Source organism: Homo sapiens, chromosome 1 (assembly GCF_000001405.40).
Source record: "Homo sapiens chromosome 1, GRCh38.p14 Primary Assembly".
NCBI lineage: Eukaryota > Metazoa > Chordata > Mammalia > Primates > Hominidae > Homo > Homo sapiens.
This window is the reverse complement of record NC_000001.11, coordinates 207626607-207641865: the sequence shown is the minus strand read 5'-3', so window position 1 is coordinate 207641865 and position 15259 is coordinate 207626607. Positions and strand designations below refer to the sequence as shown.

At 39.2% G+C, this 15259-nt stretch overlaps 1 protein-coding gene across 1 annotated transcript in view, besides 3 other annotated features; it reads right to left on the bottom strand.

Annotated features, from left to right (window-relative positions):
- The window catches only part of CR1 (complement C3b/C4b receptor 1 (Knops blood group)), a 145609-nt gene continuing 130450 nt past the window's right edge, over positions 101-15259 (bottom strand). The window contains exons 46-47 of the mRNA NM_000651.6: positions 11245-11349; positions 101-2469 (exon numbers count right to left, since the gene is read on the bottom strand). Of these exons, the coding sequence (NP_000642.3) occupies positions 2457-2469; positions 11245-11349 (118 nt within the window). The 3' untranslated portion in view covers positions 101-2456. The remainder of the gene's footprint in view (positions 2470-11244; positions 11350-15259) is intronic.
- Positions 5705-6376: an enhancer, noted in NCBI's record as "OCT4-NANOG-H3K27ac-H3K4me1 hESC enhancer chr1:207808835-207809506 (GRCh37/hg19 assembly coordinates)". NCBI's record gives its function as "activates a minimal SCP1, AML or CMV promoter by ChIP-STARR-seq in primed H9 embryonic stem cells {active_cell/tissue: H9 hESC(primed)}" and the evidence as "EXISTENCE:reporter gene assay evidence [ECO:0000049][PMID:30033119]".
- Positions 6377-7048: an enhancer, noted in NCBI's record as "NANOG-H3K27ac-H3K4me1 hESC enhancer chr1:207808163-207808834 (GRCh37/hg19 assembly coordinates)". NCBI's record gives its function as "activates a minimal SCP1, AML or CMV promoter by ChIP-STARR-seq in naive and primed H9 embryonic stem cells {active_cell/tissue: H9 hESC(naive and primed)}" and the evidence as "EXISTENCE:reporter gene assay evidence [ECO:0000049][PMID:30033119]".
- Positions 7719-8390: an enhancer, noted in NCBI's record as "OCT4-NANOG-H3K27ac hESC enhancer chr1:207806821-207807492 (GRCh37/hg19 assembly coordinates)". NCBI's record gives its function as "activates a minimal SCP1, AML or CMV promoter by ChIP-STARR-seq in naive and primed H9 embryonic stem cells {active_cell/tissue: H9 hESC(naive and primed)}" and the evidence as "EXISTENCE:reporter gene assay evidence [ECO:0000049][PMID:30033119]".

The following is a 15259-nucleotide window of genomic DNA, read 5'->3' as shown; positions in this document are numbered from 1 at the left end:
TCTGATTTTCTTTCCTGTTACTATCAAGAGCATGTCTGTGGCATTACACATCAACACAGGGATTATGAAAACAATCAGGTACAGAACTATATTCCATAAGTAGATTTGCAAAATAAAGTATTTTATTCCTTTCTCATTACAATGGTAGAGACAGAAAATTTCATTAAAGCATCATAAACTTCATAGTACACACTTAAGTGTGCCAAAAAAGCAAACAAAACAAAGAATGTTAGGACTAGCAATAGCTTCATAGGGCAATTGGTGTCCAGCCCCTGCTTTTCAGATGAAAATGTAAGGTCACAGGTTAGCAGAATTGCTTAATAATACAAGTTAGGCAATATAGTATTTTACTCATAGTTAGTATATACAGTATTTATCATTATAACTGATATAATAGAAAAAAACCTTTCAGCTTTCTTGCAATTAAAAAGTGACAGGTGAGGTTGCAGTAAGCCTAGATAGCACCACTGCACTCCAGCCTGGGTAACAGAGCAAGACCCTGTCTCCAAAATAAATCAAAAGTCACAGACATTGAAATATTTATTAATCACATTGCTCACTGACCTACTCCATTCTGGAAAAAAAAAAGAACACAGGATTTTTTTTTCTTGTAATGGGAAATTTTAATTCTAAAAAGGCCAATTCCCAATCACTTAGTTTCTAGTCCTCCTTTAAAAATTACTTCTTCAAAATCCCAAGAAATAAAAGAGATTTGCTAAAGATTCAACTAAGCAAAAGTCCTATCAAGTATCTTTACATATACTCACCACCTATTTGCCCTTCTTTCTTGGTGACCTAGCTGTATGTCCTTTGCCCATTTTTGTTGGGTGGAGAGAAGTTTGGTCTTTAATTTTTAAGTACTCTCTAAATAATAAAGCAATTAGCTTTTGTGATGTAAGTTGCATTTTTTTCTTGCAGTTTATCAGTTGATTTTTCTTAAGCTGGTTTTTTTTCCCTCTCTTCCATGATTTTAAATTGAAATTCAGGTTCATGTCTATCTCACTCCTTATACTGCTGTCAAAGTAAATGTGGCAAAATTCACCTTTAAAGCAACTATTAAACAGAATTACATAGAAATGAGCATTAGTCATATATAAAGCTATTATTAAATATCCAGAAATATTCTGATGTTTTCTAGAGGTCATTAGCATGGCCCATAATATCATAACACATTTTTGTTCTCTAAAGATGTGGACTGGTTAAAGAACACAAGGTCACTTATTTTAAAAATATCAGAACACGTTTATTATTTTGATACATTTTTTAAAAGTTGTGTTTTAAAAAGTTAATTTAGTATATTCTGAATCCATACAAAAGTAAGCTAGTACTTTTATAATAACAATTATTCTTTCATTTCAATTTTTATTATGTTTTTTATATAGAACACAGCACAAAGTGCTTTTGAATTAAAGTTTAGAAAATATCGAAAGCGGCCAGGCGCGGTGGCTCATGCCTGTAATCGCAGCACTTTGGGAGGCCGAGGCAGGTGGATCACGAGGTCAGGAGATCCAGACCATCCTGGCTAACATGGTGAAACCCCGTCTCTACTAAAAATACAAAAAAATTAGCCGGGCGTGTTGGCAGGTGCCTGTAGTCCCATCTACTGGTAATCCCAACTACTCAGGAGGCTGAGGCAGGAAAATGGTGTCAACCCGGGAGGCGGAGCTTGCAGTGAGCCGAGATTACGCCACTGCACTCCAGCCTGGGAGACAGAGCCAGACTCCATCTCAAAAAAAAAGAAGATATCGAAATCTTATTTTCCAAATATTTCTCTTCAGTAGTCTTAACCACTCTTCCCATGATCATTTCATGCCTTTCTAGTAAATTAATTTTTCTCCCTAGAGAAAGTAAAAACTGATATAGCATATATTTCACTCTAAACTGTTTAAAAGACTAGGGTTCTGCTCTATAAAATAAAAGGAAACAAACTAAGGGGGAAAAGTACGTATGTAAAAAAACACATATGTGAAAGAAGATAGGCAGAAAATGAATCAAAATATTAGGAGTGGTTATCAGTAGGTAGCATAATTATAAGTGACTTATTTTTCATAACTTTCTGCATTTTCCAAGCTCTTCTTACTGAGCCCATTCCATATTACAAATATTTTAAAAAAGAACAGTGACCACCTTACAAACCAGAAATTCCAGGCAACACCTTATTCCTTTAAGTAATCCAAACTATTTTCTATCTCCTAAATGCAGTCTTTTCCCCTGACTAGATACTGTGTGCGTTTAGCACGAGGCAGAAGGGTGGGGGTTTCACAGTGACGCACACAAAGAGGCAGGAGCTTTGCTAGGTACCAGGGAAGGGGCAGCATCTTCAAGTGCACATGTCTGCGTCTCTGTGAAGTCACTTCAAAGACTTTATGAAGCTCAGATCTGATTCTGTTGAAATCAATTGGCTCCTTTCCCACCAAAATTGTATTCGAGATGTTCTTCAGCTGTATAGTACTTTGTCAAGGAAGGACCCTGAAATAACAGGATGTTTTCATTTAATTAACAGCATGGTAGACAACTGAACTACCCAGAATTTACAGGCTGATAAGCTTTGGATATTTTCTAAACTTTATTCCACAATAACAGGAGTTGCTTTAGGAGGACAAGTTAGAACATTTGGAGGGAAATGTTATAATTGTGATCAAATTGGTCATCTAAAAAAGAATTGCCCAGTCTCAAATAAAAAAGAGCCACCTGACTTATGTCCAAGATGTAAACAAGGAAAACACTGGGCTAGTCAATGTCATTCTAAATTTGATAGAAATGGGCAACCATTGTCGGGAAAATGAGCAAAGGGGCCAGCCTCAGGCCCCGCAACAAACTGGGGCATTCCCAATTCAGCCCTTTGTTCCTCAGGGTTTTCAGGGACAACAACCCCCACTGTCCCAAGTGCCTCAGGGAATGAGCCAGTTACCACAGTACAACAATTGTCCCCCGCCACAAGCGGCAGTGCAGCTGTGGATTTATGTACTATAAAGGCAGTCTCTCTGCTTCCAGGGGAGCCCCCACAAAAAATCTCCACAGGGGTATATGGCCCACTGCCTGAGGGGACTGTAGGACTAATCTTAGGTAGATCAAGTCTAAGTCTGAAGGGAGTTCAAATTCGTACTGATGTGGTTGATTCAGACTATAATGGCGAAATTCAATTGGTTATTAGCTCTTCAATTCCTTGGAGTGCCAGTCCAGGAGACAGGATTGCGCAATTATTACTCCTGCCTTATATTAAGGTTGGAAATAGTGAGATAAAAAGAACAGGAGGGTTTGGAAGCACTGATCCAACAGGAAAGGCTGCATATTGGGCAAGTCGGGTCTCAGAGAACAGACCTGCGTGTAAGGCCATTATTCAAGGAAAACAGTTTGAAGGGTTAGTAGACACTGGAGCAGATGTCTCTATCATTGCTTTAAATCAGTGGCCAAAAATTGGCCTAAACTAAAGGCTGTTACAGGGCTTGTCAGCGTAGGCACAGCCTCAGAAGTGTATCAAAGTACTGTGATTTTACATTGTTTAGGGCCAGATAATCGAGACAGTACTTCCCATGTTAAAAAACATTTATTATCTTGTTTTGCTGTAATGGGAGTTCCAGAAAAAGATCAAAACTGACAATGGACCAGGATACTGTAGTAAAGCTTTCCAAAAATTCTTACATCAGTGGAAAGTTTCACATACAACAGGAATTCCCTATAATTCCCACAGACAGGCCATAGTTGAAAGAACTAATAGAACACTCAAAACTCAGTTAAGCAAAAAGAAGGGGGAGACAGTAAGGAATGTACCACTCCTCAGATGCAACTTAATCTAGCACTCTATACTTTAAATTTTTTAAACATTTATAGAAATCAGACTACTACTTCTGCAGAACAACATTTTACTGGTAAAAAGAACAGCCCACATGAAGGAAAACTGATTTGGTGGAAAGATAATAAAAATAAGACATGGGAAATAGGGAAGGTGGTGACGTGGGGGAGAGGTTTTGCTTGTGTTTCACCAGGAGAAAATCAGCTTCCTGTTTGGATACCCACTAGACATTTGAAGATCTACGATGAACCCATCGGAGATGCAAAGAAAAGCGCCACCGCGGAGATGGAAACACCAGTCACATGGATGGATAATCCTATTGAAGTATATGTTAATGATAGTGTATGGGTACCTGGCCCCACAGATGATCATTGCCCTGCCAAACCTGAGGAAGAAGGGATGATGATAAATATTTCCATTGGGTATCATTATCCTCCTATCTGCCTAGGGAGAGCACCAGGATGTTTAATGCCTGCAGTCCAAAATTGGTTGGTAGAAGTACCTACTGTCAGTCCCATCAGTAGATTCACTTATCACATGGTAAGCGGGATGTCACTCAGGCCACGGGTAAATTATTTACAAGACTTTTCTTATCAAAGATCATTAAAATTTAGACCTAAAGGGAAACCTTGCCCCAAGGAAATTCCCAAAGGATCAAAAAATACAGAAGTTTTAGTTTGGGAAGAATGTGTGGCCAATAGTGCGGTGATATTACAAAACAGTGAATTCGGAACTATTATAGATTGGGCACCTCGAGGTCAATTCTACCACAATTGCACAGGACAAACTCAGTCGTGTCCCAGTGCACAAGTGAGTCTAGCTGTTGATAGCGACTTAACAGAAAGTTTAGACAAACATAAGCTAAAAAATTACAGTCTTTCTACCCTTGGGAATAGGGAGAAAAAGGAATCTCTACCCCAAGACCAAAAATAATAAGTCCTGTTTCTGGTCCTGAACATCCAGAATTATGGAGGCTTACTGTGGCCTCATACTGCATTAGAATTTGGTCTAGAAATCAAACTTTAGAAACGAGATCGTAAGCTATTTTATACTATCAACCTAAATTCCAGTCTAACAGTTCCTTTCCAAACCTGTGTAAAGCCCCCTTATATGCTAGTTGTAGGAAATATAGTTATTAAACCAGACTCTCAAACTATAAGCTGTGAAAATTGCAGATTGTTTACTTGCATTTATTCAACTTTTAATTGGCAACAGTGTATTCTGCTGGTGAGGGCAAGAGAAGCCGTGTGGATTTCTATGTCCATGGACCAACCGTGGGAGGCCTTGCCATCCGTCCATATTTTGACTGAAGTATTAAAAGCCATTTTAAATAGATCCAAAAGATTCATTTTTACTTTAATTACAGTGATTATGGGATTAATTGCAGTCACAGCTACGGCTGCTATGGCAGGAGTTGCATTGCACTCTTCTGTTCAGTCAGTAAACTTTGTTAATGATTGGCAAAAAAATTCTACAAGATTGTGGAATTCACAATCTGGTATTGATCAAAAATTGGCAAACCAAATTAATGATCTTAGACAAACTGTCATTTGGATGGGAGACAGGCTTATGAACTTAGACCATCGTTTCCAGTTACAGTGTGACTGGAATATCTCAGATTTTTGTATTACACCCCAAGTTTATAATGAGTCTGAGCATCACTGGGACATGGTCAGATGCCATCTACAGGGAACAGAAGATAATCTCACTTTAGACATTTCCAAATTAAAGGAACAAATTTTTGAAACATCAAAAGCCCATTTAAATTTGGTGCCAGGAACTGAGGCAATCGCAGGAGTTGCTGATGGCCTCGCAAATCTTAACCCTGTCACTTGGGTTAAGACCATCGGAAGTACTACGATTATAAATTTCATATTAATCCTTGTGTGCCTGTTTTGTCTGTTGTTAGTCTGCAGGTGTACCCAACAGCTCCAAAGAGACAGCAACCATCGAGAAACAGCCATGATGATGATGGCGGTTTTGTCGAAAAGGGGGAAATGTGGGGAAAAGAAAGATCAGATTGTTACTGTGTCTGTGTAGAAAGAAGTAGACATAGGAGACTCCATTTTGTTCTGTACTAAGAAAAATTCTTCTGCCTTGAGATGCTGTTGATCTGTAACCCTACCCCCAACCCTGTGCTTCCTGAAACATGTGCTGTGTCAACTCAGGGTTAAATGGATTAAGGGCTGTGCAGATGTGCTTTGTTAAACAAATGCTTGAAGGCAGCATGCTTGTTAAGAGTCATCACCACTCCCTAATCTCAAGTACCCAGGGACACAAAACACTGCAGAAGGCAGCAGGGACCTCTGTCTAGGAAATCCAGGTATTGTCCAAGGTTTTTCCCCATGTGATAGCCTGAGATATGGCCTCATGGGAAGGGAAAGACCTGACCTTCCCCCAGCCTGACACCCGTAAAGGGTCTGCGCTGAGGAAGATTAGTAAAAGAGGAAGGAACGCCTCGTTGCTGTTGAGACAAGAGGAAGGCATCTGTCTCCTGCTCATCCCTGGGCAATGGAATGTCTCGGTGTAAAACCCGATTGTATATTCCATCTACTGAGTTAGGGGAAAACCGCCTTAGGGCTGGAGGTGGGACATGCAGGCAGCAATACTGCTCTTTAAGGCATTGAGATATTTATGTGTATACATATCTAAAGCACAGCAGTTAATTCTTTACCTTGTTTATGATGCCGAGACCTTTGTTCACGTGTTTACCTGCTGAACTTCTCTCCACTATTATCCTATGACCCTGCCACATCCCCCTCTCCGAGAAACACCCATTAATGATCAATAAATACTAAGGGAACTCAGAGGCCGGTGGATCCTCCGTATGCTGAACACCGGTCCCCTGGGCCCCCTTTTTTCTTTCTCTATACTTTGTCTCTGTGTCTCTTTCTTTTCCAAGTCTCTAGTTCCACCTAATGAGAAACATCCACAGGTGTGGAGGGCCAACCCACCCCTTCAGCATTCCATATAAATTACACGGTCATTAGAAGTGTTTATTGCCCTCTGTGATGGCTGCTATGTAGGACATAGAAAGTATGGCGAAAATGGAGACATTAGTAGAAAACAGAGAGATTAATGATTAACTTGACCTTTTCCTTTTTTAATTTTGTCCAAAGAAAAAGTGTTCTCAGAGTTGAGCTACTAAACAGCCTCCTTCCATTCTAGAAAACGTACAGGTCACCCATAACAGAAAAAATGTTTTTTTGATTCTGTTGTTCTACACCATGGTGGTAGCAGGGGACAGAAATAGGAACTGGTCATCTTGGAGGGGTCAGCTTCAGAAAGCATGTCCTCCTCTTCTACTTACAGTTAAGAATGAGCTGCAGTAGTGGATTTAGTACAAGGTATCCACGTGCTTCCCCAGCCGTGCTGAAGCGTCTCCTTTTAAGGCCGGGAATGGTGTCCTTCCACCAAGGGACACCCCTCCTGATGAGGCCTCCAGCTCATCTGTTCCCCGGTTATTACTGCCACCAGATTCCTCATCTTCGTTCTCCTTCCATTTCACAGGACTTCCCAGCATCACCTGTTACCTGTATTCCTCCAAATACTCTCATGTCCAACACACAGCTATGTCTTTGGAGCCTGCCTCTTTACTCCGCCCCAGAACCTGGGTGCACAAGGTCTTAACGCTTGGCACAGATTCTAACTCACTTCTTGACTAGCATATTTTGCCACAGATGATTCACTTTGTTCCCATGGAACACTGTGGTCAAAATTCTAATCTTAAAAGGGAAAGTTGAAACAAAATTTTTAAGGACTTTATACCTACCGAAAAGTGATCAGTAGTCAGTGTACACAATTTGAGGTGTACTTTGATGTAAGAGTATTTCCAAAAAGTTGAGGATAAATGAAATTTTCATAAATTAATTTTGTCAGGCCTCTGAACCCAAGCCAAGCCATCGCATCCCCTGTGACTTGCACGTATACACCCAGATGGCCTGAAGTAACTGAAGAATCACAAAAGAAGTGAAAATGCCCTGCCCCGCCTTTACTGATGACATTCCACCACAAAAGAAATGTAAATGGCCGGTCCTTGCCTTAAGTGATGACATTACCTTGTGAAAGTCCTTTTCCTGGCTCATCCTGGCTCAAAAAGCTCCCCCACTGAGCACCTTGCGACCCCCACTTCTGCCCGCCAGAGAACAAAGCCCCGTTGACTGTAATTTTCCTTTACCTGCCCAAATCTTATAAAACGGCCCCACCCCTATCTCCCTTCGCTGACTCTTTTCAGACTCAGCCCGCCTGCACCCAGGTGAAATAAACAGCCATGTTGCTCACACAAAGCCTGTTTGGTGATCTCTTCACAGGGACGTGCATGAAAAATTTCTCAATTGATTAACGTGCTCAGTTGATTACTGAACATTTCTCATTTGATTATACTCAGAGATTGGGGAGATCTTTAAAAAATTGTCTCTATTCATCAGAAGTTAATTTAGCATGGAAAAGAAAACACACATAAGCACAATGTATGGCACATTGTAAGTGGCTAAGAATGTTTGAAGAATAAATAAGCAACTACATGAATGCAATAGAGTTAACAGGCAAAAAACAACACAGGAAATGTCAATTACTATAGGTTATGTACTGTTATAATGATGGGAGAAATGTTTGTCATTTGGTAAAAAAAGCAGGATTCAATATTGTGCAATCAATATAATCTCAAGGTGTATATGCAAATGTCTAACAATATGCAAAGAAGCTTAAGAATACTACTAGATAGAGATTATTGCAGGTAATTTTTATATTTTTTATATTTTCCCCTATTTCTTGTTTTTAACAATGATGAGATATTACTGTTAAAATAAATTAGTTTATTTTTTAAATGGTGTAGTCAGGAAATGTGAGTTTCAAAGAGAGATATCATTTTGGACTAGAGTTGTTTGGGAGAGCATCTTGGTTGATTGAATTCAGAGCTGGAGCTGGGTTCAGGGAATTTAGATAGAAAGAAAGGCGGAAAAGTGTTTTAGGCAGGTAATCTGACAGGAATGAGGCTAAATCAAATAATTTATCATTGTGGAATATTTTTAAAATGAACTCTTGTAAAAATGGTTGTTGTTCTTCCAGTCTGCTGTTATTTCGTCTGTTTGTAAATGAGTGGCCACACAGCTGGCCCTGAATCAGTTCTGCCTGACTTTTCCCCCATAGCACTCTGATAGTAAAGGAAAATGAATGCCTCACGCAAGAACTTTGGAGACATAGTCTAAAGCATCCCTGAAAGCACAATATTTTCTGTCTTATTTTATCTTTTTTTTTTTTTTTTTTTTTTTTTTTTGAGACGGAGTCTTGCTCTGTCACCCAGGCTGGAGTACAGTGGCGCGATCTCGGCTCACTGCAAGCTCCGCCTCCCGGGCTCACGCCATTCTCCTGCCTCAGCCTCCCGAGTAGCTGGGACTACAGGCGCCCACCACCACGCCTGGCTAAATTTTGTGTGTGTGTGTGTGTATTTAGTAGAGAAGGGGTTTCACCGTGTTAGCCAGAATGGCCTCGATCTCCTGACTCATGATCCACTCGCCTCGGCCGCCCAAAGTGCTGGGATTACAGGCGTGAGCCACAGCGCCCAGCCGTCTTATTTTATCTTAAACTTCCTGCATTATTTATTTGTCTTTTCCTCCCTTATAAATGTGTTTGTGTTCATGTTGAAATAATACAATTTTTATTTGAACTATTGGAGTAATATTAGAAAAATATATTCTCTAGGAAACCATGCCATTTTCATCTTATGATTTTTATATCCCCTTGGTATATTAGCATTAGCCATGTATCCCCCAGTGTATACATATGCCCATTTGAGAAGGATCAGGCCAGATAAACATTAAAGCTTCAAAAAGTAAAATATCAATTCTGAATTTTAAAAAAGCAATGCATATTTCATTTGTTTTCATAAACAGTAATGACAAATAAGCTAGAAGCAAAGCAACTAGGAAGACAGATAATAAACAGGGCATTGCAAATTCATTTCTATTATAGGAGAAAATAGGACATAATCTGTAATTTTTTGTTTAGAAAAGTTTGAATTGCTTCTACTTATGTTTTGGTTAACTATAAAATACCTTTTCCACTTCCTTTACTTTTCCTGGGGCCCCTTCCACTGTCCTCTGTTGAATTTAGGATTTCTGATGTATGTAGGTGTAACATGCCAAATTTAGATTAATGCACAGGTATATGAGAAAGAGGTAGGACATAAAGAAAGGAAATTCAGTAATGATTGTGGTGCTTTTGCTTCTGCTTTCTACAGGACTGGCCTAATTCTGTTCTAGGGCATATGGTGATCTTATTCCTGAAAATGTTCCAAACACCTATGGGTAGGACATTTTAGGATTCTTGGGCATAGCCAAAGTAAGCCAGAGCCAAATAAATTGCTCTGAATTTTAAAGAAAAATGGAGTTTTGAATTTGCAAGAAGCCCGAGAGTCTGAATGCCTGTATTTACTGCATACCCTGAGAATGCAGTAAAGATTTGAACAAAAGAGAGGAGTATCCAATGAGAGAGAGAGGCCTGGGAAGAGGATGGAAAGCCCAGGTTAAAAGGGGAACTAGCCAGTGAGAAATTTCTCATAGTATGATATAGTTCAGGGGTTAGCAAAGTCTTCCACTAAAGGGCCAGATAGTAAATACTTTTGGCTTTTGGGGTCTCTGTTGCAACTACTCAGCTCTGCTGTTGTAGTATAAAAGGGAGCCAGAGACAGTAGACAAACGATTGGGTGTGGCTGTGCCCCAGTAAAACTTTATTCACAAAAACAAGTGGCCAGCTGGATTTGGCTCACAGGTGGTAGTTTTCAGGTCCCTGGTGTACTAGTTACTTTTCAGTTCAGTGATTTCTAATATTGATACATACCACTTTTGATAATGGTATAATTTCCCTTTTCACCCCAAATCTTTAGCAATGTGTACTGCACAACAGCTTGCAGTAAGCCTGCTTTGAATAGGTAGAATGAAAGGTTAGGTATTTAATAAGCCCAAGGGAATGAGGACCAAAAGAAGGAGCAGTCAAAGAGGCCAAATGAAGTAGAGAATTCAGTGGAAGTCAGAAATCAAGGGGGTTGGTGGCTGGGGAGGTAAAGTGAAAGTCTCTAGAGGACATTAAAGTGACTCTGTGCATTTAAGGGAAGCTGGAAGACTTGGAGGTACAAGCAGGCAGCAAATTCTTGGGTTCCACAAGAAAAAAGCATACTACTTCTCAAAGTTTCATAGCATAAATACAGGAAATTATAGGAATGCTTTGAAAAAGTAGTGACTGTGACTGTACTAACTTATAGAGTCATCACCCCAAAACATTGGAAATGACAATAATAATCCAATAAAAAAAAAAGAAGTTTCCAACTCCTGAAGTACTTTCTAAATTCTTTGGTATCAATGACCTACCTAGTGCAATATCATATTCAAGTCCTGTTTCCATTTTTGATATTTGAGTTGTTGAAAACATTTTGAATTCAGTATGTATATAGGTACCTGCTATTTTCTTCATTTGTTTGCAGAGTTCGGGGATGAACGCTGCTGCCTCCTTGAGAATGTAAATGGATAGCCACTTCTTTAGGGTTTTCATGTGCATTATTGCTAATTGGCAGAGAAAAAAATAGAAAAACTGTCTTAATCATTTAAGTATCTGTTTTGAAAGAAATTAGTAATTTGCATTTTGAAATTTAAGGTATTATTTGCCTTAAGTTCCTGATATCTTTGCAAGACGTCTGAAAGGAAAATCATAACCAAATCTCATCTTTTAATACTAAGCAAAAACTTAGATTAGAAAATAATACTAAAATCATCCTATATTTTCTGTCAGAGTACTCTAAATTGTTTATAGGCAGATGTCCATGCCTTAACACATTTCACTATTTCTGACATAATTTTGATTAGTAAATAGGATTTACATCGAGATTTTGACACTTAAGCTGCACAACATGAATGACTTTGCACTGCAGTGTTACACGAGGCTTCCTTTTTCTCCTATAGTGAAGATATGTGTTCTGTTTTCTGTACAAGCAATATCCACGGTTAGGGGAGCAGCAGTAGCTGTCATGAAGGTATTTAAGAACTAACAGTAAAAAGAAATATTTACTCACTTTTTAATATCAGTAATAACAATCATGTGTAAATAATAGCTAACATTTTCTGACATGCATCATAAATGAGGCACTATGTTAAGTAAGGTAGGAACTATTATTATCTCCATTTCACAGGCAAGGAAAATGAAATTTACTGAGGATAAGTATCTTGCTCAGGGTCTCATAGAGAGTGAGTGACTGTGAACACAGGCCTTAGCGGTTGCAAAGCCCTCACCCTCACTTGGTATGGTACACTGCCTCTTTGGGGGTTAATAAACACTTCATCTTTTATCAATGAAATGATAAAACAGTACCAGTACCTGGAGATTTTATGTATGAGTTGGTATTAGGGATTTTAGAATGGAAGCTTGAAGAGTTAACTCACTTCAACATGTACCACTGTTTCCTCATCACTCAGTTATTCTTTACCATCTTATGGAAATTAGAATGACAGCATCATTTGAGAAAAAGAGGCAGACTGCTTCAGGGGGCAGAGTTTTCACAGGACAGGGAAGGCACACTTGAGATCCATGGATGAGGAAGAGTGGAGTGGTATATAGCCAGGTGGTATGACCTTCCAAGGAGTGGTGGTTAAGTGGTAAGATGAGTAGTGTTCTGAAGGTGGTCTTGGGTGATGAGTGGTACATGGGGTTTTGGAGAATATGATCTCGGTGAGTATATGTTGAATGAAGAGCTATTTGGTTAGTTACTGGTGGTTAATGTGAACATAGGAAAATTCAGGGAGACTTCACAGAGGATGGCCTTAAGTATTTTATCATTCTAAACATCACAACAATGGAAACTTTGAAATTTTGACTGTGTACAAGGCTGTTTTGTGTAGAAATGGGAGTGGGTACGAGGCAGTAACAAGAGGCAATAATGGGCTCTGAATGAAGAAGTCTAACCAGTATTATTCCTCACTGATGAGTGCATGACCTATCTTATGACCTATCTTATTTAACATTATCACAAATTATTGTTGTAAATACACAGTGAAATATCAAAACGTGCAGGCGCATATTTTTAACTAGTGAAATAACAAGGCAGTGAGATTAAATCACAGGAAGAACTTGCCAAGTCTGTGTGAAACGCCAGGAAATCTCAATATGGAAAGATGCCCTTAAAGAAATACCTTAATTTTTTATAGCCTAATGACTCAGAATAAAGAGTAAAAAAAGTAGAGATTGCATACGGTTCTCTAGAAAGATACTGGTTCAATATACCAAAGTAGCTAAAACAAACTCAGTAAAATATAGGGAGAAAAAGAATATTGAAAGAAAAAAGGAAAATACTTTAGGTTTGTACTATGTACAGTTCTGGATACTGAATTTCAGTAATATAGAGTCAGATTCAGAAATGGCAACTAACATTGTCAAAATACTAGCACAAAGAGTTCAAGATTTCCAGTTAAATAATCTGGACTAAAGGCCTAATTCCTAACAACTTCCTACTGGCTTTAAACAAGCCACTGAATTTCTTTGAACCTAGAGTGTTTTATGCTTTGGGATAACAATATGATTGGGCCTACCTACCTCACAGAGTTGCTTTGAGGACCAAAGAAGATAATAAATGGTAAATAAACCTATAAATAAACATGTTAACTCTTTTTGTAGATACATTAACCATTTCTACTCTTATTATTAATTTTGACTGCTGTACAAGTAGAGATTAAAAAATCATTAAATAAAAATTGCTTTGGGTGGATATAGGTGGTCCCTGCTCACAGGGGATCATAGTCCAGGGAGCAGGGATGGTGAGGAGAATAGTAGAGACCAAGAAGGCAGGAGATAGTAGTAATAGTGAGTGGAAAGGCCAAGGTGGAGGGTGCAGAGGAAATGGGCAGAGTAATTAGGTATTCTTAATCAGGGAAAGCTGAGGATTGAGAAGGCACATGAAATCAAGTGTGATATCGTTTAAGCATATGTGCTTACCAAATGCAGTGTTGGTACAATGGACTGAATGTTTGTATCTTTCCAAATTTATATGTTGAAAATTTATAGGATCTAATTACTATAGGATCTCAAAGGTGAGACCTTTGAGAAGTAATTAGATCATGAGAGCAGAGCCCTTGTGAATGGGACTAGTGCCCTTAGAAAAGAGACCAGGAGAGCTCCTTTACTCCTTTTCTCTGATTTGAGAACACGGAGAAAAGATTGAAGTCTATTAACTAGAAAGCGATCCCCACCAGACACTGAATTTGCAGTTGCCTTGACCTTGGACTCTCTACCCACTAGAACTATGAGAAAAAAATGCTTGGTTTTTAGAAATGACATAATGTTTTTTAGGGACATGGTCTTACCATATTGCCCAGGCTGGCCTTAAACTCATTGGCTCAAGCAGTACTCCTGCCTCAGCCTCCCAGATAGCTGGGACTATAGGCAGGTACCACTGCACCCAGCTTAAATGCTTATTGAATCCACCCAGTCTATGGAGTTTCTGTTATAACTGCCCAAGTATATATACCAACAGACTGAGACAGTTGGTATATTAGAACAAGGAGCAGCCTTGAAACCTGGAGTAAGTTTAGGACAAGTTAAAGACGCACTGTTCAACTTGGTAGAGAATTACGGCAGAAATTTCCCCTTGTGGTAACACTGTTAGTGGTGTGTAGCTCACTCATTCATTTGATAAATATTTATTGAGACTCTCTTTGTCCCAGGGACAGTTTAGATTTGTTGTGTATCCATTGGTGAAGATAGGACAAAAATCCCCGACTTCATGGAGGGAGAGAGAGAATAAACATGGAATGTAATTATTTAATTAATTATAATAAAAGAGAATAAGGCTATGAAAAAAATAAAGCAGGATAAGAGAGACTAGGAATGTGGGGGTGGGGTCATGTCATCTTTACTAGGATAGTTAAAGTAGACCTCCTTGAGGAGCATTTTAAAGAAGGTGAGATCATTTCTGTGTGTGTATTCCTTCTATTTCTCTATCACTTTAGTTTCTTTTCTTGTTTTATTTTATTTAATTTATTTATTTATGTTTTTCAGATGGAGTTTTGCCTTTGTTGCCCAGGCTGGAGTGCAGTGGCACAATCTCAACTCACTGCAACCTCCACCTCCTGGGTTCAAGCAATTCTCCTGCCTCAGCCTCCTGAGTAGCTGGGACTACAGGCATGTGCCACTACACCAGGCTAATTTTTGTATTTTTAGTAGAGACAGGGTTTTGCCATCTTGGCCAGGCTGATCTCCAACTCCTGACCTCAGGTGACCCACCCGCCTCAGCCTCCCAAAGTGCAGGGATTACAGGCCTGAGCCATCGCACCCAGCCTCATTTTAGTTTCTTAGTAAGTCTTCAGACTGCTTATGCAGCTTCTGAATTGTCTCCAGTGTTTGAGGTAGAAGTCAGCCTGCACCTCTCTAGGCCTGGTGTGACTGTGGCTCTCCCATAGAGCAGGCCATCTTGTTCTACACTATTCT